The sequence below is a fragment of the Homo sapiens genome, chromosome 2 (assembly GCF_000001405.40).
Source record: "Homo sapiens chromosome 2, GRCh38.p14 Primary Assembly".
In the NCBI taxonomy this organism is placed as follows: Eukaryota; Metazoa; Chordata; class Mammalia; order Primates; family Hominidae; genus Homo; species Homo sapiens.
The window spans coordinates 84,631,194-84,656,395 of record NC_000002.12 but is presented as its reverse complement, the minus strand read 5'-3'; the positions used below and the strand labels follow the sequence as shown (position 1 = coordinate 84,656,395).

Genomic DNA, 25,202 nt, shown 5'->3' with positions numbered 1-25,202 from the left:
AAAATGATACAGCCACATTAGAAGACAGTCTTGACAGTTTCTTACAAAGCTAAACATATACTAAATAATTCAGCAACCACATTCCTAGGTATTTACCCAAATATGGTGAAAACTATGTCCACACAAAAACCTGCACATTAATGCTTATTAAGAGTTTAATTCATAATTGCCAAAACCAAGATGTCCTTCAGTAGGTGAATTGGTACATGAACTGTGGTACATTCATACAAAAAATATTATCCAATGCTAAAAAGAAATAAGCTACCAACCCACAGAAAGACATGGAAGTATCTTAAATGAATATTACCAAGTGAAAAAAAGCCAGTCTGAAAAGGCTATGTACTATATGATTTCAACTGTATAACATTCTAGAAAAGGTAGAACTACAGAGATAGTAAAAAGATCAGTGGTTGCAGGGGTTAAAGGATGGGGAGTAGGGATGAATATGTAGAGCTTAGAGGAATTTTAGAGCAATGAAACTATTCTGCCTGATACTATAATGGTGGAAACGTGACATTATGCATTTTTCAAAACCCATGAATTGCACACAAAGAGTGAACTCTAATGTAAAATAATAATGTATCAATAGTGGTTCACCATTTATGCAAAGTGTTAATAATAGGCGAAACTGTTTGGGGGTGAGGGAGTGCATGGGAACTCTCATTTCTGTTCAATTTTTCTATAAACTTAAAACTGCCCTAAGCACAAAAATGTCTGTTAATTTTTAAAAAAGTGAATTCAGAAAAGTTAAAAATCTTAAGGTAGCCAATGACAAACTCTCAATTCTGAGAATTACTGTCTTTAATAAGGTACTCTGAGACTAGACCATAATATTCTTAAAACTGTTGATGCCTAAAAAGGAGGAAAACAATAGTTTTCTGGCTCATCTTTGGAGGGGGAGAGGCAGAGATGAAGATGGCTTACTTGGAGTAGGGGATGAGATGTGGGGGAAACATCTCAAAGGACTACTTGTTAAGCTAAGCTAAAGAGGAAAATTCTGTGTTAGAATGCAGAAGCTACAGAAAGTAGTATGAAACTGAGTTGTTTTGAATAACAATGTATAAGCTTTCCTTCACTTTGGGTGGAATTGTACCTCTGAGGTTAGAATGTGTCTTAGGTCTTGCACCTACTATTGGGGTAGGATGTAAATGAGTTTTCTTTTATCTTTGGCTGTCATAGGTGTTAAGGGCTCTCAAAATCCAAAAACAATGACAGTTAGGGTCTGGACTTAAATATTCTTTTTCTTCATTTTGCTTCCTTTTATTACTCCCAAGCTTTCTGCGAAGTCTCAATGCCTCAGGCTGTTGTAGCTGTGTTTTTAGGGACTCAAAAAAGTGGCTTGTGTTTCTAGTCTGGGGAGAAGCCAGGCAGAATAGGCAGGAGGCAGGGTGAGTAGGCAGGCTGGCAGGCTGGGGTAACAAGAAATGAGGACAGATTTGGGGAGTATATAAACATTCCTGGACGATTCCAGGAATTCACAGGGAGGACTAGGTAAAATAATGAAGTCCCCTCAATCAAGAACCATGAGTCCTTAACCTATTGTTATTTGTGCACTAGAAGGCAACATGAGTCCTGACAGATGGAGATATTGGGGAATATCTGATGGCACTTACTTTTTTAGAAATACCCTTCATCCAAGTTTTAACATAAGGCATCCATTTCAGTTCTTCAGGATCCACAAACACCATTCCACATCGACTGACTGTTGCAGGGGAGGCAACCCGCAGATCTTGCACCTAAAGTTGAAGAAAATTGAACAGGAAACAGCTAATATGATACTTCCTTATTTCTCCAACTTCAATGTTCACACTTATAAAATGATTCACACTTTTAAAGTCTAACAACACTGAAGGGCTTCATGTGGAAGAGAGTGGGAGAGCAATAAGTAATTAGAAATGGAGGAAGAAAGTTAAATGACGTATAAGGTGAAAAAAATTCCCACAACTACAGGAGGATACTGTCAAACTCTATGGGCAGGGCTAGTTATTTTTTTCTTTCTTCTCTTTGCTTTTCTCTTTTCTCCTGTTCATTCTTGTATTAGAATCCCTAGCACATACTAGACATTCAATCAGTATTTGATGAATGAATAGAACACAGGTGGCATCCTTCATAATGTTGGTAGCTGTACTTGGTCCACATTCCTCTCCCAATCCCTCATCAAATATTCATATCATGGTGGGATAATTTATTCTTATTAAATGCAATAATTTTTAATTTAAAATGCATTTCAAATGATACAAAGCTCTCTCTCTCTCTCCTCTTTCTTTCTCTCTCTCTCTCTCTTTCTCTCTCTCCCTCTCTCAGGGAAGCCAGAGTTTATTGTACTTCCTATTTATAGAGACAAGAACATTTGAGACTTTGACTGTCAATCTATTACAAAAGGATGACTTAATAAGTAAGTAAACAGAACACAATAATAGACATTATAGATAGTAAAGGCTACATCAGTGTGAGAAAAAAATGTAACGATAGTATGCCAATTTAATGAATGATTTCACTCCACAGTAATGTGTACACTTACCTCAAAAAGCATGTGAATTTGAGGTGTGAGTTTAATCCTCTCACTGTTAGCCAGGCAAAGCATCTTGTTATCATCCAGCACTGTATTCATGTTTTCAATCCAAAGAGCATCTACTGGCCCATCACTGATGATCCATTTATGGTCTTCTGAAGTATCATTCACAGCTGCTCGGACACTTAGTGCCATCAAACCATCTTTCCATTCCAAGGTTAAGTTATTAACCTCTCCATATAATTCACCCATGGTAATTGATTTAGGGTTGAGAACATATGTTTTAACTGCTTGGTAAAAGGAATTTTCTATCCCAAGTTTTTGTAAATTCCCTAAAGTTTCTGCTAGTATTCGGTAAACTGTGGTCTTGCCGCCTCCTGTTGGCCCGACTAACATAACACCATGCCTTACTAGCATAGTTTCATAAAACTGTATCACCTTTCTAACCATACACATCTCAGGCTGAAGATTTTGTCTATTCATGACATCCACAATTGTTGATTGTAAAATACCATAATCATGTTCTGGAATTTGGACTCCAGGAAAAAGGTCAGATATGATTCCACTGTCAAAACAAAAATAAAATCAATTAGGAACAACTGGTCATTGATATTTTCCCGTATTTGTTACAATCAATGAAATATTATGAGTCTTATTGTTTCTCATTGATCTTTCTCTTCTGACATGTACAGTATTAGTTTGTCCTATGTGCTGTACCAGAATCTATCATTTCTCTGATATCATGTATGATTTTGTTTGTTTCCTGTACAGTAGACCAATGTTCCTAAGTATATTAGGAGCTTCTTGGGAGTAAGTGATATCTCTTATGTTTCTTTCTGTATTTCCCACAGTACATGGCATAGTACCAAACATATAGAAGGTGATGAACTTATTTTTAATTATTAAAAAAATTATAAAATATCTCACTTAAAAATTTAAAATTATTTTAAAATTTTGTTTAAAAATTATATTTATAGCTCAACTTTTCCTAAAATCACTTACATATACTCATTAACTGTATGTGGCTATTCAGAAAAATAAGATGAATGTATAATTAAAATTAGCATCATGCAAGAAGGAAGGAAAAATGTGACTATTTCTATAGGAAACAGTTAGTATGAGATGTTTCAATGGGAAAAAAGAAGCTAAATCTTTACCTCACATTATATACACAAATACATTTGTGATACAGTTAAAACCTTACATAAAGTGATGAAAGTACTAGAAGAAAGTAGAAGAGCTAAATTTTGCAACATTGTGGTAAGGCGGTCTTTCTAAGAAAGGCAGGAAATCTACAACTGTAAAAAAAGTTGACAGTGAACAAAGAAAAACAGACAAAAATCAAACTTCTGTGAGATAAAAGGCTTTATATACAAACTTAAAGCATGAATGAGAGACTTAGAAAAACATTTCCAATGTTTATATCAGATAAAGATTATGACTTTCTATAAATCAATAAGTAAGAGTACAATAGGAACATGCTCCAAGAATAATAATTATAAATAAATAATGAACATAGGAAATGATTCCCAATGACTCTAATAGTTAAAGAAATGACTATTAAAATAGGCTACTACATTTGGCCTCTCTTTAAAACACTTATGGGGAAATAGGCGCCTTCGTAAAACCACTTATGTTAATATAAAAGGGTAAGTCATCTTTGGAAGACAATTTGATTTAATCTATTTAAATAAAAAATGTGCAAACCCTATGACCTAGGAAACTTACTTCCAGGAATCTCCCCTGTAGAAATATCATACGTGTGCAAAGATATATGTATAGGAATATTCATTATTAGAATAGAAAACAATTAGGAAAAAATCTAAATGTCCATATAGAAGACCTTTCATGTTAAAGTAGTTCTATAGGTTTATTATGTCTCAAAGTACCATCTTATATAATAGCAATCTAGCAGCAGTAAAAAAAAAAAGACTCATGCATATATACTAACATGAAAAAGATGCTCAAGATATATAACGAATTGAAAAAGCAACAGCTGTAAAAATAGAAATGTATTAAAGGTAATACATGAAAGTGTCAACCAACTTATTTCTCCAGAAAGATGGAACAGATTTACTTTTCCCTATTCCTTCCATTAAGTACAACTAAAATCCCTGTACATTAAATAAAATAAATAAAAGAAGACTCTGAAAGGTAGAGAGAAGTCAGACTGGCTAGGTACCTTAAGATGCAAGCAATAACACAGTGACTAGTCCCTTGTGTCTTTTTGTCTTTTACATCCTGGCAATCTAGAAATGCCAATGGGCACAGATTTAAAAAAAAAAGCCCCAGGAAAAGCTTACTGTCTTTATCCAAAGGACCAGGAAAGGGGCAGCCCAGGAAAGGGGCAGCCCAGCAAGACAGAAAACTTTTAGGCAATAACTGCTCTACTCTAACCAAACACCACAGAAAAATCCTGAGGTATTTATTCCTACCCTCACCAGCAGACACTGAGTGCGGAGCCCAGACTTCCACTCTAGCTAGGGTGTAACAAGTCTCCTGAAATTCCTCTTCTCATTCTCCCACGGTGTCAGAGAAGGCCAAATAGGGATGTACTTTCATCCTCACTGGGAAGTAATGATGCCCCCTTTGGTATTAGTGTAGACCATATGGGAAGCCTGGACTTCCAGCCCTACCCAAGAATAATGAAGCACCCCTTCTGCTCTCTGACAGGTGGAATCAGAGGAGGATCAGTGGAGAGTCAGGACTTTTACCACTGTCCAGGGGTAATAAAGCTGTCTTCCCTTGTGGCATCAGTGGAGGTCACGTGGGGAACAGTAATGAGGCGCTTCTACTCTTCTATCCAGGACAATATCACTGGAGGACTGCCAGGGAGCTGGAACTCCCACCCCTACACAGCAGAAATGACTGCTCCCACCAGATATCAATAAAGCTTGAATTCTATCCCCACCTGGCAGTAACAAAGTTGCATTTCTAATTTCTCTTGCTGGTGTGGCATCAGGAAAAGCCAGCTAAAATAAGTTTAAATAAGATCTAGAGTCTCATAACATAATACCTCAGATAAGTAGGTTTCAATGAAAATCATTCATCACATCAAAAGCCAGAAAGATCTCAAACTGAACTAAGAGAGACAATCAATAGATGCTAACACTGAGATGAGAGAAACGTTAAAACTGTCTGACAAATTTATTTTATTTCTTAAGGGATAGGGTCTCACTATACTGCCCAGGCTGGCCTTGAACTCCTGGGTTCAAACAGTCTTCCCGCCTCAGCCTTCTGACTAGCCAAGACTATAGGTACATGTGACTACACACAGGTGAGATCATTATCTTAAAACAGTCATCATAAAAATGTTTTAAGGACCCATTATGAACACAATAGAAACAAAAGAATATAAGGACATCTCAGCCAAAAAAAAAAAATACAGAGAGCCTATTAGAAATTTTAGAACTGAAAAAATACAATAACAAAAAAATCAATAGATGGGTTCAAGAGCAAAATGGAAGGGACAGAGGAAAGATTTGGTAAACTGCAAGATAGAATAATAGAAGTTACCCAATCTGAACAAGACGGAGAATATTGTCTGAAAAAAGAAATGAGAAGCTCTTGGGGACCTGTGGAAATATAACAAAAGATCTAATATTTGTGTCACTGGAGTCTCAAATGATGGGGAAGGATGAAAGAGCTGAAGAAGTATTCAGAGAAATAATGACTGAAAATGTCACACATTTGCCAAAAAGCATGAACCTACAGATTTAAGAAGTTGATCAAATCTAAAACAGGATAAACCCGAAGAAATCCATATGAAGATACAACATAGTCCAACTTCTAAAAATGGAAGACAAAGAAAACAATTTTAGCAGCAGCCAGAAGAAAAAAAAAATGACACCTTATGAACAGGGAAAAAAACACATAAAATGACAACAGAATTCTCATCAGAGACCATGCAGGCTGACAGGAAGTGGAAAACATCTTTTTAAAAAAATGTTTTATTTTCAGTTCTGGGGTACATGTGCAGGATGTGCAGGTTTGTTACATAGGTAAGTGTGTGCCATGGTGGTTTGCTGCACCTATCAACCCATCATTTTTCAGCTCCCACTTATAAGTGGGAACATGTGGTGTTTGGTTTTCTGTTCCTGCGTTAGTTTGCTGAGGATAATGGTGTCCAGCTTCATCCATGTCCCTGAAAAGGAACATGATCTCATTCCTTTTTATAGTTTGCTGAGGATAATGGTGTCCAGCTTCATCCATGTTCCTGAAAAGGAACATGATCTCATTCCTTTTTATGGCTGCACAGAATTTCATGGTGTACCTGGGAAGTATATGGTACAACAGCTTTCAAGTCCTGAAAGAACTGTCACTCCAGAATCCTATATCCAGGGGAAATATCCCTCTGGAATGAAGGGAAATCAAGACATTCTCAGATAAAGGAAAAGGAAATGAATTTGTAGCCAGCAGATCTACCATGAAGAATGGCTAAAGGGAAGTTCTCTAAGCAAAAAGAAAATGATGAAAGAAGCAAACTTGGAGCATCAGAAAGGAAGAAAGAACATGATAAAATGAAAATATGAGCTCCTATTATGAACATCGTATTACCATTCATTGTGAAACTTAATCGTATATTTATATATAAGCATCCTTCAGAGATGCTGTGGGTTCAGTTTCAGACCACTACAATAAAGTGAATATAGCAATAAAGCAACTCATATGAATTTTTTGGTTTCTCAGTGCATATAAAATTAATCTTCATGCTATACTGTAGTCATTTAAGCATGCAATAGCATTATGTCTAAAAAATGTACATACCTTTATTTAAAAACGCTTTATTGCTAAAAAAGGCTAATGACCATCTGAGCCATCGGCTTTTGCTGGCAGAGGGTCTTACCTCAATGTTGATAGCTGCTGACTGAGCAGGGTGGTAGTTGCTGAAGGCTGGAGTGACTGTGGCAATTTCTTAAAATAAGACAATAATGTTTGCCACGTTCATCGACTCTTTTGTGAAAGATATCTATGTAGCATGTGATGCTGTTTGATAGCATTTTACTCACAGCAGAACTTCTTTCAAAATTGAAGTCAGTTCTCTCAAACTCTTCCATTGCTTTATCAACTATATTTATGCAACAGAGTCTTTTGTTGTCATTTTAACAACGTTCACAGCATCTTCACCAGGAATAGATCCCATCTCAGGAAACTACTTTCTTTGCTAATCCATAAGAAGCAACTCCTCATCTATTCACGTTTGATCATGAGATCGCAGCAATTCAGTCACATCTTCAGGCTCCACTTCTAATTCTAGTTCTTTTGCTATTTCTACCACATCTGTAGTTACTTCCTCCACTGAGGTCTAAAACCCCTCAAAATCATCCATGAGGGTTGGAATCAACTGTTTCCAAACTCTTATTAATGTTGACATTCTGTCTTACCATGAATCATGAATGTTCTTAATGACATCTAGAATGATGAATCCTTTTCAGAAGGTTTTTAAATTAACTTTGCCTGGATCCATTAGAGAAATCACTATCAATGGCAGATAGAGCATCACAAAATATGTTTCTTAAATAATAAGACTTGAAAGTTGAAAGTACTCCTTGATCCATGGGCTACAGAATGGATGTTGTGTTAGCAGACATGAAAACAACATTCATCTTGTACATCTCCCTCAGAGGTCTTGAGTGACCAGGTTCATTGCCAATGAGCAGTAATATTTTAAAAGGAGTCTTTTTTTCTGAGTAGTAGTTCTCAATGGTGATTTAGCCCTTTTCTCATTTAGAACAAAAAAGGGCAGCTTGCTGCCAGTGCTCATTTAATTTTACATAAACATGCTCTTTGAGGCTGAAGCAAATCTGACTGCTTTTCAGTGTGAAAATAAAATATAAAAACTGTTCTTGGAGTTATTTCTAAACAGAACTAACATTAGAATCATCCAAATCATCAGAGTCATCTATTTAGGAAAAATCAGATTCATCAAATGAATCTTGGGCCAACAACTATTAAAAAAACAATGTTAACATCATGCATAGGAATGTTATGCTTTCTAGGATTTGACATTTTCAGTGATCAAGAACTACTATGTTTTGTAAGCAGAAATACCACTACTAAAAACAGAATGCTATAGAATGATGCCTTTTGTTTCCAAAGTCAGTATACTACAGCAATGTGAAAATAATAATAAAAGATAATTCATGGCAAAGTTATCTCGGGTTAAATTCTGCAGCCACAAGTGCTGCCAGCGAGTACTCTTGGGGCAAATGGGAAAAGGGTTAAAATATTCAGTAAACCATTCTCTAAACAGACATACTGTCATCCATGCCTTGTTGTTTCATTTTTAGAGCACAGGTAGAGTAGATTTAGTGTAATTCTTAAGGGCCCTAGGGTTTTTGGAGTGGTAAATGAGCACTGGCTTTAACTTAAAACCACCAGTTGCTTTAGCCCCTAACTAGAGTCAGCCTGGCCTTTAAAGCTTTGAAGCCAGGTGTTGGTTTCTCCTTTTTCACTATGAAAGTCCTATATGGCATCATCTTCTAACAGAAGGCTGTTTTATCTACATTAAAAATCTGTTGCTTAGTGTAGCCACCTTCATCAGTGTTCTTAGCTAGATCTGGATAACTTACTGCAGCCTCTACATCAGCATTTGCTACTTTACCTTGTACCTTATGTTATGGAAATAGCTTCTTTGCTTCAACTTCATGAAGAAACCTTCATGAAGCTAGCGAGGGAAAGAAGTTTGAAGCTAGCTACTTCACCAGGAGTAGATCCCATCACAAGAAACTACTTTTGGCCGGGTACGGTGGCTCACACCTGTAATGCCAGCACTTTGGGAGGCTGAGGCGGGCTGATCACTTGAGGCCAGGAGTTCAAGATCAGCCTGGCCAACATGGTGAAACTCTGTCTCTACCAAAAATACAAAATTAGCCATGGGTGGTGGCATGTGCCTGTAGTCCCAGCTACTCGGGAGGCTGAGGCAGGAGAATTGCTTGAACCCGGGAGGCAGAGGTTGCAGTGAGCCAAGACTGTGTTACTGCACTCCAGCCTGGGGGGCAGAGTGAGACTATCTCAAAGCAAACAAACAAAAAAATGACTTTCTTTGCTAATCTATAAGAAGCAACTCCTCATCCATGCAGGTTTTATTATGAGATTGCAGCAATTCAGTCACATGTCTGCTAGCTTTGAACTTTTCTTCTGCAGCTTCCTCACCACTCTCTCCTCCTTTATAGAATTGAAGAGAGTCAGAGCCTTGATCTGGATTAGGCTTTGGCTTAATGGAATGTTGTGGCTGGTTTAATCTTTTATCCAGACCACTAAAACTTTCTCCATAGCAGCAATAAGGTTACTTTCTCTTTCTTACCATTCATGTATTCACTGGAGTAGCACTTTTAATTTCTTTCAATATCTTTTCCTTTGCATTCACAATTAGGCTATTTGGCACAAGAGGCCTAGCTTTCAGCCTATCTTGGCTTTAGACATGCCTTCCTCACTAAGCTTAATCGTTTCCAGCTTCTGATTTAAGGTGAGAGGTGTGTGACTCTTCCTTTCACTTGAACACTAGAGACCACTGTAGGGTCATTAGTTGGCCTAATTTCAATATTATTATGTCTCAGAGAAGAGGGAGGCCCAAGGAGAAGGAGAGAGATGGGAGAATGGCTGTCTGTGGAGCAGTCAGAGCACACACATTTATCAATTAAGTTTGCTGTTATGTATGGGTGCAGTTTGTGGTGCTCCCAGAACAACTGCAATAGTAACATCAAAGATCAATGATCACAGATCACCATAACAGATACAATAATAAAAAAGTTTGAAATATTGTGAGAATTATTAAAATTGCCACATATACACATGGTGAACACAAGCTACTGGAAAAACTGTGCTGATAAACTTGCTTCATGAAGGGTTGCTACAAACCTTCAATTTGTAAAATATATGATATCTGCGAAGTGCAGTAAAATGAAGTGAAATAAAATGAGGTATGCCTGTAGATACCTCTGCCCTCAACTTTGGAGACACAGACAGTCACATACACAGGATTACAACAAACTAGTATGGGAGCCAGTGCCAGGGTAGGAAAATGTGAGCTGTAATTGATAAATTGCTTGAGGCTAGATGTGGAGATGTCTGAGAGTTAAAAACTCCAGGGGCATCCAGTCATGGGGTGGAGGGGCACATCTTTTGTGAGTTTTACCTCTAGGAGCTCAACCAAGTCTTGGAGTAAATATCTGAGAGAAATCCCATCATGTGAATATTTTTGCAATCTATGCATTTGGCAAAGGTCTAATATCCAGCATCTATAAGGAACTTAAACAAATTTACAAGAAAAAACAAACAGCCCCATTAAAAAGTGGGCAAAGTGCATGAACAGGCACTTCTCTAAAGAAGACACCACATGCGGCCAACAAACATATGAAAAAAAGCTCAACATTACTGATCAATAGAGAAATGCAAATCAAAACCACAATGTGATACCATCTCATGTCAGTTAGAATGGCTATTATTATTATTATTATTTTTTGAGACAGAGTTTCACTTTTGTTGTCCAGGCTGGAGTGCAATGGCACAATCTCGGCTTACTGCAACCTCCACCTCACGGTTTCAAGTGATTCTCCTGCCTCAGCCTCCCAAGTAGCTGGGATTACAGGCATGTGCCACCATGCCCAGCTAATTTTGTATTTTTAGTACAGACAGGGTTTCACCATATTGGTCAGGCTGGTCTCAAACTCCTGACCTCAGATGATCCACCTGCCTCATCCTCCCAAAGTGTTGGGATTACAGGCATGAGCCACCACCCCCGGCCTAGAATGGCTATTACTAAAAAGTCGAAAAAAAACAGATGTTGATGAGGTTGTGGAGGAAAAAAGAATGCTTTTACACTGTTGGTGGGAGTGTAAATTAGTTCAACCACTGTGGAAAGCAGTTTAGTGATTCCCCAAAGAGCTAAAAACAGAACTACCATTTGACCCAGCAATCCCATTACTGGGTATATACTTAAAGAAATACAAGTCATTCTGTTATAAAGACATATGCATGTGTATGTTCATTGCAGTATTATTCAAAATAGCAAAGACGTGTAACCAACCTAAAAGCCCATCAATGATAGACTGGATAAAGAAAATGTGGTACATATGCACCTTGGAATAATACACAGCCATAAAAAGGAATGAGATTATATCCTTTGCAGGAACGTGGATGGAGCTGGAGGCCATTATCCTTAGCAAACTAATGCAGGAACAGAACATCAAATACTGTATGCTCTTACTTATAAGTAGGAGCTAAATGATGAGAGCACATGGACACATGGTGGGGAACAACACACACCAGAGCTGTTGGAGGGTGGGGAGTGGGAGGAGGGAGAGGGTCAGGAAAAATAGCTAGTGGATGCTGGGCTGAATGCCTGGGTGATGGGATGATCTGTGCAGCAAACCACCATGGCACATGTTTACCTACATAACAAAACTGTACATCCTGCACATGTATCCTGGACCTCAAAATAAAAGTTGGAAATGAAAAAAAAAATCACATTTGAAAAAGAAAAGAAATCTCTTCATGCTTCTGTCAGGGGAGGGGAAAAGAAACCATTCTGAAATAGGCTGGAGCACTCTGCTCTTCCTAATAAGGAGAAGCCAGGAGAGTTAATCAGAGCCTAACCTGCTAGAGTTTTGTCAGAGCTTAACAGATCCGGGGGAGGGGAAACATCAACTCCAGCTGGCGCTAGCCTTTCACTGGGAGAAGGGAATTACCCAACTCTAGGCCACTGTAGCCACCCTGTACCACCTAACGGGGAGAAGAAACTGAGAAACACTTATGAAGCCTACCATTCAAAGGCATAGGCTCATTAAAAGACTGAGTCCTAATCCTAGGACAATAGAACACTTTCTCTCCTGCTGCACCTTACCACTACATTACTTACAGCCAATTTACTTTTGGCCCAGTTCCTTTTAACCAGTACATCATGTCCAGCTATCAAGAAAATATTATGAGGCATACTAAAAGGCAAAAAAACAAAAACAAACAAACAAAATAAAACAAAAAAAAACACAATTTGAAGAGACAGAGCAAGCAGTAGAACCAGACATGGGAGGGATGCTGAAATTATCAGACAGGGATTTAGAACAATGATGATTAATATGTGAAAGGCTTTAATGGATAAAATGGACAGCATGCAGAAACAGCTGGGCAATATAAGCAGAGATATGGAAAGCCAAAGAAAGAAGCAGAAAGAAATGAATTATAAAAACCAGCACACTATAACAGAGATGAAGAATGCCTTTGATAGGCTTATTAGTAGATTGGACACAGCTGAGGAAAGTATCTCTGAGCTTGAGGATACCTCAATAGAAACCTCTGAAACTGAAAAGTAAAGAGAATAAAGACTGTAAAAGCAACATAATACCCAAGAACCATGGTACAACTACAAAAGGAGTACCACGTGTGCAGTGGGAATACCAGAGGGTAAGAGAGGGAGAAAAAAACAGAAGAAATATTTGAAAGAATAATGGCAGAATTTCCCCAAATTAATGTCACACACCAAACCTTAGATCCAGGAAACTCAGAAAACACTAAGCAGGATAAATACCTAAAAATTATACCGAAGCAGGTCACTTTAAAACCATAGAAAATTAAAGATAAAGAAAAAATATAGAAATAAGCCAGAAGGAAAAAAAAAACCCCACTTTACCTATAGATGAGCAAAGATAAGAATTACATTTGACTTTTCCTCAGAAACTATGCAAGCAAGAAGAGAGTGGAGTGAAACATATGAGGAAAACCCCACCAACCTAGAATTCTGTACCCTGTGAAATTATCCTTCAAAAGTGAAGGAGAAATAAAGACTTTCTCAGACAAATAAACATTGAGAAAATTTGTTGCCAGTAGCCTTGCCTTGCAAGAAATGTTAAAAGCAGTTCTTTAGAGAGACGAAAAATAACATAGGTCAGAAACTCTGATCTACCTAAAGGAAGAGCATGGAAGAGCATGGCATAATTGAAGGTAAAATGAAAATTTTTATTTTTCTTATTCTTAATTGATCTAACAGACAACAGTTTGTTCAAAATTGTTATAGCAACAATGTATTTGATTATATATGCCTGTGTATATATTATATATGTGCTTATGTGTGCTCATATATAAGTAAAATGAATGACAGCAATGACACAAGGGATGGAGGGAGGAATTAGGATAGAAGGGAGAAATACGATTGTTATTATAAGGTACTCACACTTCCCATGAAATGGTATAGTGTTAATTGAAAGTGGGCTTAGATTAGTTGTAAATGTATATTGCAAAATCTAGGGCAACCACTGAAAAAAGTCAAAAAAGGAAAAAAAAGAAAAAGAAATGGTATAAATGTGGTATTAAGAAGTTTGGAGGGGGATAGCAGAATAAATAAATAAAAGAGTTAGAAAATGATTGTCTTTGGGAAGTGGGAGTTGGTGAAAGGCTGGGGACTGTTGCTTTCCATGAGACTAATTTATGAAACTATTTTCTTTTTAAAACTATATACATGTATAACGTGGAGAAATGTAAAACTAAACAACAAACAACAAAATGGATAAAAGCAATTGTATTTATGTTAAACCCCAAGTCTGACTTTTTTTGAGTCAGAAACTTCTCTTAGGTCAGGAACTTATGGCCAAATGCTAAGTTGTACAGCACATAGTCTGGTGATAAATATTTTGATAAAAAAACACAAATGATTGTAATTATGCCCAAACTTTAGTATCTTCATTTTAAATGAGTATTTCTTAAACTGCAAAATAAGTTTCTCCAGAAAAGATAGGAAAGTTTTCAGCTTGTTAGAGAAAGAAATAATTGAAGAAAAGACTACCATTTGCCTCTACGTGATAGCCATGCTTTACTTGGTAATGTCTACAAACTTACCTGAACAGAAGAGCATCATCTGTTAGAAATTTTGGCAAATTGGAGTCTTGTAAAGCTCTTATCAACACCACATCTTCATTTAGGTCTGGGTTTTCTCTTTTTAAAGATCTAAATTTAAAGGAATATTTCGGATAATATCACAAGAACATAAGGTTGAACATGATTTTCTAAACCTGTGGGGAGGGCAGAGCCCTTCCCCTGAGGATTCCTGTTAGAAGGAGAAGATCATTTTCCCTCGTGTGTTCAGCGTTCATCTCCATCAGAGCATACTGACAAGTCCTGCAATGGCTATGCAGCCTTGGAGAGAATGACAAGGACATCTTCTCATCACCCTCCCCAATCCCGATGTTATTCAACCTGAATTTATAGTTCCCTGAATACACCATGATGATTCCTATCGCTGTGATTTTCTTTTCTCCCTGCCCAGAATATCTTGCCTTGTTCTTTGCCTGCTCTTATTTCCCCTGCGAAACCCAGCCCAGTGACTCCCTTTTCTAGAAAGCTCCTGTCCTCTATCCTCCTTCTCAGTGAACCTCTGGTGGGTGCAGCCCTGTTGCTGCCCTCCCTGCATTGCAGCTACATGACTACACATTGGTCTGTCTCTACGACCCACTGGACTGTAGTTGTGCTCCTCCAGTGCAAGTGTATCTCAAGTTCTTAGTATTCCTAGTCCTTAAATGGCCATCCTGTAAAGAGGGGACATACTATATCTGAGAGGTTAAAAGATAGAACAGAGGGTAGGAAAGTGCAGGGAGATTCATGCAGAGCCCAGTGATGCAGGAGCCAGGCAGAGGGTTCCTGGATGTGCAGAACCTGAGCCAATGAGTCATGGCCTGAGAGGAAGGACTAGAGATAAAATAGGTCTCCTTAGAGGCTCTGGACAAGTTGGGGATTCCAGATGCAGTAGTTTCAAGAAGTTATAAAGAGAAAAGTGGGGTCTGAGAAGAGGAAAGACTCTTTCTTTACTAGATACTAGAAAGAAGCTTAGGCTTGGGCCACGTTATAAAGACAGAGGTGAAATCTAAGACATAAGCTGAACTGAATTGGAATTATGAAGTTTCTTTAAACTCCTGAGGCTTTCTCAGGCAACAAGTATGACTGGCTTTGTTGCATATGCATAACAGACTGTGTGTCTTTTAAGTCTAGTCATACCATCTTATGGTGGTAAAGGTTTTTGTACACAAAAGACCGATGTTTGAATTTGAGTTCAGGAGAAGTGAATATTATCCTAAGCCTAGCTGGGGATCATTTTCTGTCGAGGACAACCATGTTAGGACTCACAGTGAAGAACTGTCACAGGATAAAGAGAGAGAGCCTGTGTCAATCTGTCATGGAGTGTCAAGGTAAGAATGATGACAACAGCAGCAGCCAACATTTATTAATCAGTTACTCTCTGAGAGCCTTTCCTGAGTTACCCATTTAATGCATTTGATCACATGGTTTGGGATTTCACTCTTGACTACTTTGGTTTCTTACCCAGCCATGACCAGGACAGACTTCACAGCTCTCATGCCAAAGTCGTAGTGATCCTGCTGAGACAGCTGCTCACTGCAAAGCTTATACATCTGAGTCATTTTTCTTGCTAATATTTTACTGGATTCAAATCCTTCAGAATATAGAATTACCTAGAATAGAAAAAATAATGCAATGCTTATTATATTGTATTGATAACAATGTATTAGCATGATACCAACATAGTCAAAATTGACTCTAAACATTATACTTTCCAAGTTGTTATGTCTTTTAATCAAGAAACATAAAGATTGAAGGGAAAAAGGCTTTCTGTGCCACAGGAAACGGGAAGGCAGAATATTGTATGGGGATACCTAGGCACTGATTCTGTTTTCCATGTGTAGATGAAGATGTAGCTTTGGGGACATTTGGTTCAAGGAACAGAAGAGCCCAGCTTTTGAAAATGTTCCCATCGTGAAAGTTGGATGGTGTCATTAGGCCCGAGTACAAAAGCAAGAACTGAGCTTCTCTGATCTGACAGGAACACCACCCTAGTGGAGAGTGATTACCACCAGCTCCCTTAGTTTCCCGAGGAGTCAAGGGAAGCCATGCAAAGATTGTCAGCCTCTCCTCTGCCTTTCTTCTGACAAGTTTCTGCATCCTTGGTTAAATTAATCAGATGATGCTTAGTGTCTCTGACAGTGGAGCTGGAAGCGGACCCTTTTTTCTATTTATAATCTGCCTGAAACACTGCAGTTGGCCTCAGATGCAGAATTTAGAATGACGCAGAGTTCTTACTGGTGTCTGTTTTGTTTACTGCCCTATCCCTGCTGATTAGCACAGTGCTCTGCACACAGTAGGTGATTAAAAATATTTACTAACAGGCCAGGTGCAGTGGCTCACACCTGTAATCCCAGCACTTTGGGAGATCGAGATGGGTGAGTCACTTGAGGTCAGGAATTTAAGATCAGCCTGACCAACACGGTGAAACCCCATCTCTACTAAAAATACAAAAAATTAGTCAGGCATGGTGGCAGGAGCCTGTAATCTCAGCTACTTGGGAGGCTGAGGTAGGAGACTTGCTTAAACCTGGGAGATGGAGGTTGCAGTGAGCCGAGATCGTGCCATTGCACTCCAGCCTGGGTGACAGAGCCAGACTCTTTCTCAAAAAAAAAAAAAAAAAAATTACTGACAACAGAATCTAATTCATTTAAACTCTAAAAATAATAGGAATAGCACTCAGAAGACTAGACTTTCAAATTCGTCCAATCCATTACTGAGTACTATAACAACAGGACAAAGCATGAGATATGGAAAACATGTTGGACTGGACTCTAAACCTGGTTTTCTTCCTACCAAGTTGGGACAATGAGCAAGTCATTTATTGTCCCTGTTTGTAGAGAGGGTCAAGAGTAAAGATACTACCTGTCCTAACTGCCCCCCACCCCACCATGCCCACAGTGGGTATGGGGGACCCCTGAGCTGCTGTAAGCATTATACTAATTGACATAGTTTGGATGTTTATCCCAGCCCAAATCTCACATTGGATTATAATTCCCAGTGCTGAAGGTGGGGGCTGATGGGAGGTGTCTGGGTCATGGGGGTGGATCCTTGATCCCTCATGGCTTGGTGCTGCTTTGCAATAGTAACTGAGTTCTGAGATCTGGTCATTTAAAAGTGTGAGGCACCCCCTCACCCACTCTTTCTCTCTTGTTTCTGTTTTCACCATGCACAGTGCCTGCTCCCACTTCACCTTCCACCATGAGTAAAAGCTCCTTAAGGCCACCCTAGAAACCGAGTAGATGCTAGCACCACACTTCCTGTACAGCCTGCAGAACCATGAGCCAATTAAACCTCTTTTCTTCATAAATTACCCAGTCTCAGGTATTTCTTTATGGCAATGCAAGAAAGACCTAATACCCTAATATAGGTTGTAATTTTTCTAATGATAGGATTTGGCACAGTCTACTCTATTCTTAAGCAATTACTTTTATTTCACATAGAAGAATATTTAAAATTAGCTGTTATCACAGGAATTTATTAGCCAAAGGAGTGATCTGTGCTTTCTGAGAAATTCCATCCTAAAGGGGTAGTGTCCCTTGTTATGAAATGTAGCATGGAGCACACAAGGGGTCTTCTGGAGTCCTAAAAATGCCTTATATTTTGGTCTTGGTGGTCACACAGATGAATGCATGTGTAAGAATTCACTGAGCTGCACCCTGTGAGCTGTGCTCTTTATTGTGTATAAATTATACCTCAATAAAAAGTGCCATGAAAAATACGTATAAAATTTAGCTGGATATAGTGTCATGTACCTGTAGTCCCAACTACTCAGAGGCTGAGGTGGGAGGATTGCTTGACCTCCATTTAGTTCCAGCCTGGGTAGCATAGTGAGACCCTGTTTCTCTTTTGTAAAAAAGTACAAAATGTGAATATATCAATTCTTTTTAAAAAACTATTTTATTTTTAACTAATTAAATATTTATTTATTTATTTTGAGACTGGGTTATGAGACTGGCTAATTTTTATATTTTTGGTAGGGACGGGATTTCACCACATTGCCCAGGCTGGTCTCTAACTCCTGGACTCAAGCGATCCTCCCACTTTGGTCTCCCAAAGTGCTGGGATTACAGGCCTGAGCCACTGTGCTTGGCCAAATACATCAATTTTTGGCTAGCATTTAAATTCTTGGCTATTTAAAGCCAGTTTAAATAGAAAGATGCCTAAGTAGATACAGAAAAAACAAACATGATTATAAATAATTTGTTAATGATTACTATTTTTTGACTAAGTTGATACATACTTATAAACCAATCTCCAACCACTTCATAGTGAGGAGGCTTCTACTTAGCATCCCTTGACTCCAGTAAAAAATAATGTGCAAAGAGAAATAAAAATAATCTGTGTTTTTGTAATGAATCCAGACATTTTAATTCCTAGAGAGGAACTGAAAAACCCCAATGAACTGGTTAATTAACTCATTGATTCTTTCCAGTTTTAGGGGCCTATTATATTCCAGATACCATTTTGGGTATTATGGCTATAGCAGTAAACAAACAAACATGCAGAACTTAACATTCCATGTGATAACAATCATATCTACACTTAATAATGTGTAACCATTAATAGGGGCATTCATAAAGGAAACTTTCTACCTTGATAGAATCGAATGGTAAATAAAAGAAAGAAGTTTACATTTCTGCTGCTTTATAATGTGATGCTCACCTCTGCAATCAAGGCATAATTTGGAACCATCATCGCAAATGGTCTAAACAGGGCTTTCAAATTATCTGGCAATTCAGTTCTCCCTGCATAGCCAGGATTCATTGTGATGAAGGCTGCACAAGTCATCACCAACTTTATTTCCCGCCCCTCAAACATGAATCTAGAGAGCTGTTCGAAGATAAAATATAAGTTAACACTCTTCCAGACACTTGTAAAATTTTTCACCTAATTATTACTCGAATACAAGACTCATGTAATGAAGCACTAAAGCAAAGACTACTGAATACCATTGTTGGACAACAGGGAACATTTCTGATTCTGTCCTGTCTACTTCCAATCTCTTCTGGGCTCTGTGTTTCCTGATTTCTGTCTCCCTGCACCTGACTTGCCCAAACTGTCTCTTCCTTCCTAGCCAAGTCCTGAAATCTTCTAGGTCTGAACATATACTGAGCCTCTTCAATTCAACTTTCTATTTTTTTTTTTGAGACAGGGTCTTGCTTTATCTCCCAGGTTGGGGTGCAAGTGGCATGATCAGAGCTCACTGCAGCCTTGACATCTCAGGCTCAAGCAATCCTTCCACCTCACACCTCAGCCTGCCAAGTAGCTGGGACCACAGGCACACCCCACCACGCCCCACTAATTGTAAATTCATCTTAAACTTACTGACCATTAAACCTTCTCCACTCCCACTTTCTGGTATTCCCCAAGAAATTCCAACTTAATCTTAGTCTGAGTTGTTGAGGCCCCACTGTCACTGTTTTTGTCACCACCCCTTCACTTTTACTTAACAGCAAACACTTGTTGAGCACCTGTTGCAGGTGAGGCAATAGGTGAGGCATGGAGGCACACAGCTGAAGGAGCCTCACTCTTGAGATCTCCAGAAACTCCCAGGCTTGCTGTCTGCAATCAACCTGGAAACCATGACCACACAGTGCAACACATACTACAGTGCAGGTGTGTGCAAAGCCCATGGGGGTAGTAGACAACCTGCTTGGGACCTGAAGAAGGAAGAAGGATGTTTCAGGTGGAGGAACAGGGGCAGCCATTCCAGGAAAAGGGAGCAGGAGCAAGAAACAACACTGCATGTTCCGGAAATGATGAGCAATTTACTTTGCTAAAGGGCAAAGTTCCAGAAAGCATAGCTAGGCTGGGCCTGAGCATCAGGAGTCCTGCACACTAAACTAAGGAATTTAGATTTTGTCCCATGTTTGGGGGGAAGCAGAGTGATAGGATCAAAATTGGCAGCAGAGAGGTTGGACAGGCTACAGACAGGGAGACCAGTAAGGAATGATCATTAGGGACATAATGAGAGCCAGAATTCAAGAGGTGTAAGTTGGGAGGAGAGGCATCTAGCAGATAAAATTAACAAGACTTGGTGATGGCTTAGATTCTGGGATTAATAGTGATGGGTCAAATCCAAGGTGAGTTCCAGGTTTCTAGTTGGGCACTAGATGAAGATGCTATCAACAGACATGAGGAATACAGGGAAGACCAGGATGGAGTAAGGTGATGTGCCACAGCCTGGAGGAGAGAATGCATGGTACAACTGGAGACCATTTCTGCTGCTGCTGAATGGTTGCTTGTGCTAGCAAACCTCTCAATTTCTGTGGTTTAGTTTACCTATTCTAAACAGTATACCCCACCCCAACTGTCTCATAGGGCACTGGCAGCTTCAGGACGAGGCTGGTTATTTGCAGATGCTCTCCTGTCTCCTCTGTCCTCATGTAGCTGCTCTCCAGTGGGCAAAGCTTCAATCCTGCCTCTACTCTCTCTGGTCCCTGTCCCCTTACTCCATATACTTTGCTTTCAGTGAATTGCTCAGCCAGATGATAATAACTTGCACAATATAGACTATGCTATCTCTGTATTTAAAGATCTTGTGTTTAATATAGGCCTCCCCAGAGTATGCGGGAACAAGAGGGAGTACAGATAAGGGAGCTTAGACTTTAGAGTCTAATAATTTTTGGTGTCTATGAAAATATTTTTTTAACTTTGAATTCTTTTCACCTATTACCTTGGGGGAAATGACATATACTTCACGTAGATTTGGTGTAAGATGAAATAAGTGTGAGCACATACCATAATGACTTACACAATTTAGTAGCTCACTATAGTCCAAGTCATGATTTCTTTTTATTTGTTCTGTAATTCGCTTTTTTGCAGAGGGCGATAATCAAAATATTTAACAACTCTTATCAGGACACCTTCCAATGAGATAGCCTCTGCCTCTGGAGCTAGAGCTGAGTCCAGAGTCCCCCGTGCTGTGCCAGGATGAACCCTTATTGTTGAATCGAGAGGACGTCTGGGGCTCTTCCGAAAGGGCCAAGGGAGTAGTGGGGGCCCTCACAGGGCTTGGAGCAGTGCTGTTTTGGTTTGTAGAGGCTGAACACCAGTGCTGCCCATTGTGACCAGATCTCCAAAGGTCAACACAGAGTGGTAGAGACTTGGTCCCAACCTTCACTGCCATCAGCTTCTGAATATGAAATCCCTTCTCTAGAGACATGCTAATAAGGGGCTAAAACAAATTTTAAATAACAGGACCACTCAGTGTCTTCATCTGGCACCATATTCCTTGGATTTTCTAGTCCAGTGAGCTCTGGAGAGCCAAGGTCCCCTTGGGCTCCCCAGGATTCCTCCCTAACATTTTTAGCATCTCCTTCCTAAAATGTAACATTCTGTGAGTTAATGACAAATTTAAGGATTGCTACCTTGAAAGTCGATTGCCCAGTGCCTTACCTTTGCCGCTTTGGCGTTCCTAATGGTAATGAGTTGCTGCGCGATGACGGACAGAACTTCTATGTCAATTCGATTAAATTCATCAAAGCAGCACCAGGCCCCTGACTGTGCCAAGCCACTGAAGAAGCGCCCCATCATCTGAAATCAAAATAAAGCAGTTCAACTTTGTATTGTGTAGTTCAGCTCCTTCAAAAATTAAATTCTGAGCTGAAATATTAAAGAAAAAAGAGGTGGTATCTGCAAATAAGCAATAGTTTTATGTGAATACTGGTCTATGTCAGAAGTAAACACTTTTCTACAAGAGGAAATATGTTTTTGAGTCTCTCTAAGTGATTTGAATCTGTTTTATTTTTAAACAAAATGACAATCTGACCAATTTTCCTTCTTGTTTATAACCTCCACTCACCTCTGCAAATACTTGACAGATTCTCAAATAGTTTAACACATGGAACATACAAACTTAAGAACTTTAAAAAAACTTGAAAAATTTTACTAATGGAAGCTTTCATTGTCTTTAGAAGGTATTCTACATGGCAGACACACACAAGGACTACTGAGCAGAAGGCATAGCTGTGCAGATTATAGTAGTGATTCTTAATTTCTTCTACAGCAGAATCCTAATGGTGGAGGAAAATAAGAATGTACCATCTAAAGTGTGGCATTTCTTTTGGGCACTTGAGATATTGGTTAAGCATGTATATAAATCTTGCATTATACCATATATCTATCTCTTTAGTAATAGAACTAGTGGTTTTAAATTTCAAGGTGGTCAACTGAACACATACTACTTCCCCCCTTCCTCCGATTCCCACAAATCACAGAAAGGCTGATAGATCTGTGTGCATATCTCTCTCCTTTTCTGTGACCACACTTATACCTGTACCTGCTTGATAAAAACATAATGGAAAGGGAAGCCAGCAGGAAGAAGGTTTTGAAAAAAAAAAAGCTGGAATATGGAAAGCATAGGGAAACAGACTGTTCAACTGAGAAGGGAGAATTGCAGCCCCAAAACAGAGGGAGAGGAGTAATGCCCATCATGAGGTCTCTAAGAAACTCCAAACCCAATATCAATATACACAAGTTGCAATTCATGCAACATGAATACATACATGCAGCAAAGCAGACACAGGCCCTAGAGAAATATTTGGAAATGAGGCAAAGATCCACACTTGGAATGATTGGGTTTATGGGTCCTTCCTCTCTCTGTTCTCCCTTCCTCTCACCCCAAGCAGACTAAACAGGGCTCTTGAGATTTTAGTGCTGAGATCCCCACCAGGCTAAAATGAAGGACTGCCTCATAAGCAAAGGGGGAGATCTGCCTTGGGGAGATATTAATATTAGGAGATACTGGGAGACGATATTAGGCTTGGGAGATAAGGAAAGCAGAGACAAGGAGAGAAAGATGGTTCCAGACTTCCACTTCAGTCGCCGAGATTCAAAAATAATAAAAGAAAGTGAAACCCACTGAAATGTACTACTTTAGAAGGAAAATCCTTATTATTTGGCATTCGATGTGGGCTTTCTCACTTACTGGCTGCTCCGTGTGCATACATTCTATGAAGAAGCCTGCTGGCCACACATTCTATACTTCCACAGAGCTCTTGGTAGTTCTTTCATTCAAGGAAGGGGCATTTGGGGGAAACAAGCTGTTTACACTAATTAAATTAGTCCTTCATCTATACTTATGAACCAATAGGTGAAGATTCAAGAAAGAGAAAGAATGAGAAGAATAAACTAACGGGCAACTTTGGAGAAAGTGGAGATAATTTAGGGAACAGAAAGTAATTTTACAAAATTGAAATGGAATCCTCAGAGAGATCTGGGAGGGAAACACATTCCTAAAATAAAACAAGATACTCTAAAAAAAGGGATTAGTCAGAGATAAGAAACAGTCCCTGGAAATTAGTAATAATATAGACAAGGTAAGAGAAGTTGAATGAATGCATGGAATGATAGCATGGACAGGACTAAAGACTAAGTTGGTGTTCTGTACAACAAAGCTGCAGAATGCTTCCATATTGTAGAGGAATGGTCTTCATACTTAGCATACATGTAAGTCCTGGCATACGTGGAGACTTCCCAAGGGATACTTTTGAACAGTTTTAAAGGAAGTAACAAAGAAAATTCCAGATCTTGATCTGTGACACAGACTCTTTGCTAATATTTTTCTCTTTGAGAACATGTCTGTGGTCATGGTGGTTCTTCATTTCCGTTTGCTCTTCAAAAATGACCCTCTTTCTCTGCCACTCCTGGCTCTGCAGTTTGTGCCTGGCTGAGGAGGAGAGTGGGGGGTTTGAAATCCAGCCCTGACACGGCTGGTGACTTGGTGAACGCGTGCCACAGGTGTAGAGGCTCAGCAGATGATACTGGCAGCCTTGCTCTTATCCAAACCAGATCTTACTGTGGTGCATTGCCCCAGGATGCAAAAACCTCCAGGGTGCCAAACAAAGGAGCAGTTCCAAATATTGATCATGAACGCAGGAATGCTTGCAATGACTGACTGGTTAACAAATACTTTTTCAAGTCAGGTGATCTCCAATTCTTTGTTTTCAACAAAAGTGAAGGACAGGGTCAATGCCTACAGGCCAAAGATAACCAGGACATACCTGTAGTCAGACGCAATTGGGTTTACCACTTGTTCCAACAAGGGAGACCACACTCTGTGGGGAACCAAGGTTTCTCTTGGTAAAAGGATATTAGGAGGACTTGTCATAGGATTTGGGCTTATGTTAGAAAATTCTGGGGAAGGGTCAGTGAAGAAGGGTTTTGCTCTATTAGTTTTTAAGAGCTACTATAACAAATTGCCATAAACTGAAGGGCTTAAAGCAGCAGAAAATTATTCTCTCACAGTTCTAGAGGCTAGAAGTCTGAAATAAAGGTATCAACAAAGCCATGCTCATTCTGAAGGCTCTTGGGGGTAGGATTCTTTCTTGCCTCTTGGTAGCTTCTAGTGGTTGCCGGCAACCCTTGGGATTCCTTGGCTTCTTGTACTGCATCACTCTGATCTCCACCTCCTGTGTATCTTCACTTGGCTGCCTTCTCTCTGTGTATCTATATCTACATTTTTCTCTTCTTACAAAGGCACTAGTTAGTTATTGGATTAGGGCCTGTAGAATTCCAGTATGGCCTCATTTTAAACATCTGAGTCTTTATAAATGTAAAGGCCCAAATTAGGTAACATTCACAGATATTAGGCATGAGGACTTGAACATATTTTGAGGGGACACAATTCAATCCACAACACTGTGGATTAGGTGCTGGTAGGAAGCAGGGGCAAGTTTATGATGGATATAATAATAACATTATACAGGAGGCTGAGGCTGTCATTGGTAAAGGTGAAGCAGTTACACAGCTTAGCCTGGAGAGGGGGATATTAGATTATTTTTTGTGGTTTGGACAGCATTCTTGTGTGTTTTCAGACACGATTATGGCATCTCATTCCATAATG

General features: G+C 39.1%; 1 protein-coding gene across 14 annotated transcripts in view; it reads right to left on the bottom strand.

Moving 5' to 3' along the window:
* Window positions 1-25,202, bottom strand: part of DNAH6 (dynein axonemal heavy chain 6) — a 360,018-nt gene that overhangs the window by 163,194 nt on the left and 171,622 nt on the right. For all 14 annotated transcript variants that reach the window (XM_011532650.4, XM_011532649.3, XM_006711956.3 and 11 more), the window contains 6 exons: window positions 21,755-21,892; window positions 19,019-19,186; window positions 15,818-15,966; window positions 14,342-14,449; window positions 2,522-3,077; window positions 1,614-1,736 (listed from right to left, as the gene is read on the bottom strand). In XM_011532650.4, the coding sequence (XP_011530952.1) occupies window positions 1,614-1,736; window positions 2,522-3,077; window positions 14,342-14,449; window positions 15,818-15,966; window positions 19,019-19,186; window positions 21,755-21,892 (1,242 nt within the window). The remainder of the gene's footprint in view (window positions 1-1,613; window positions 1,737-2,521; window positions 3,078-14,341; window positions 14,450-15,817; window positions 15,967-19,018; window positions 19,187-21,754; window positions 21,893-25,202) is intronic.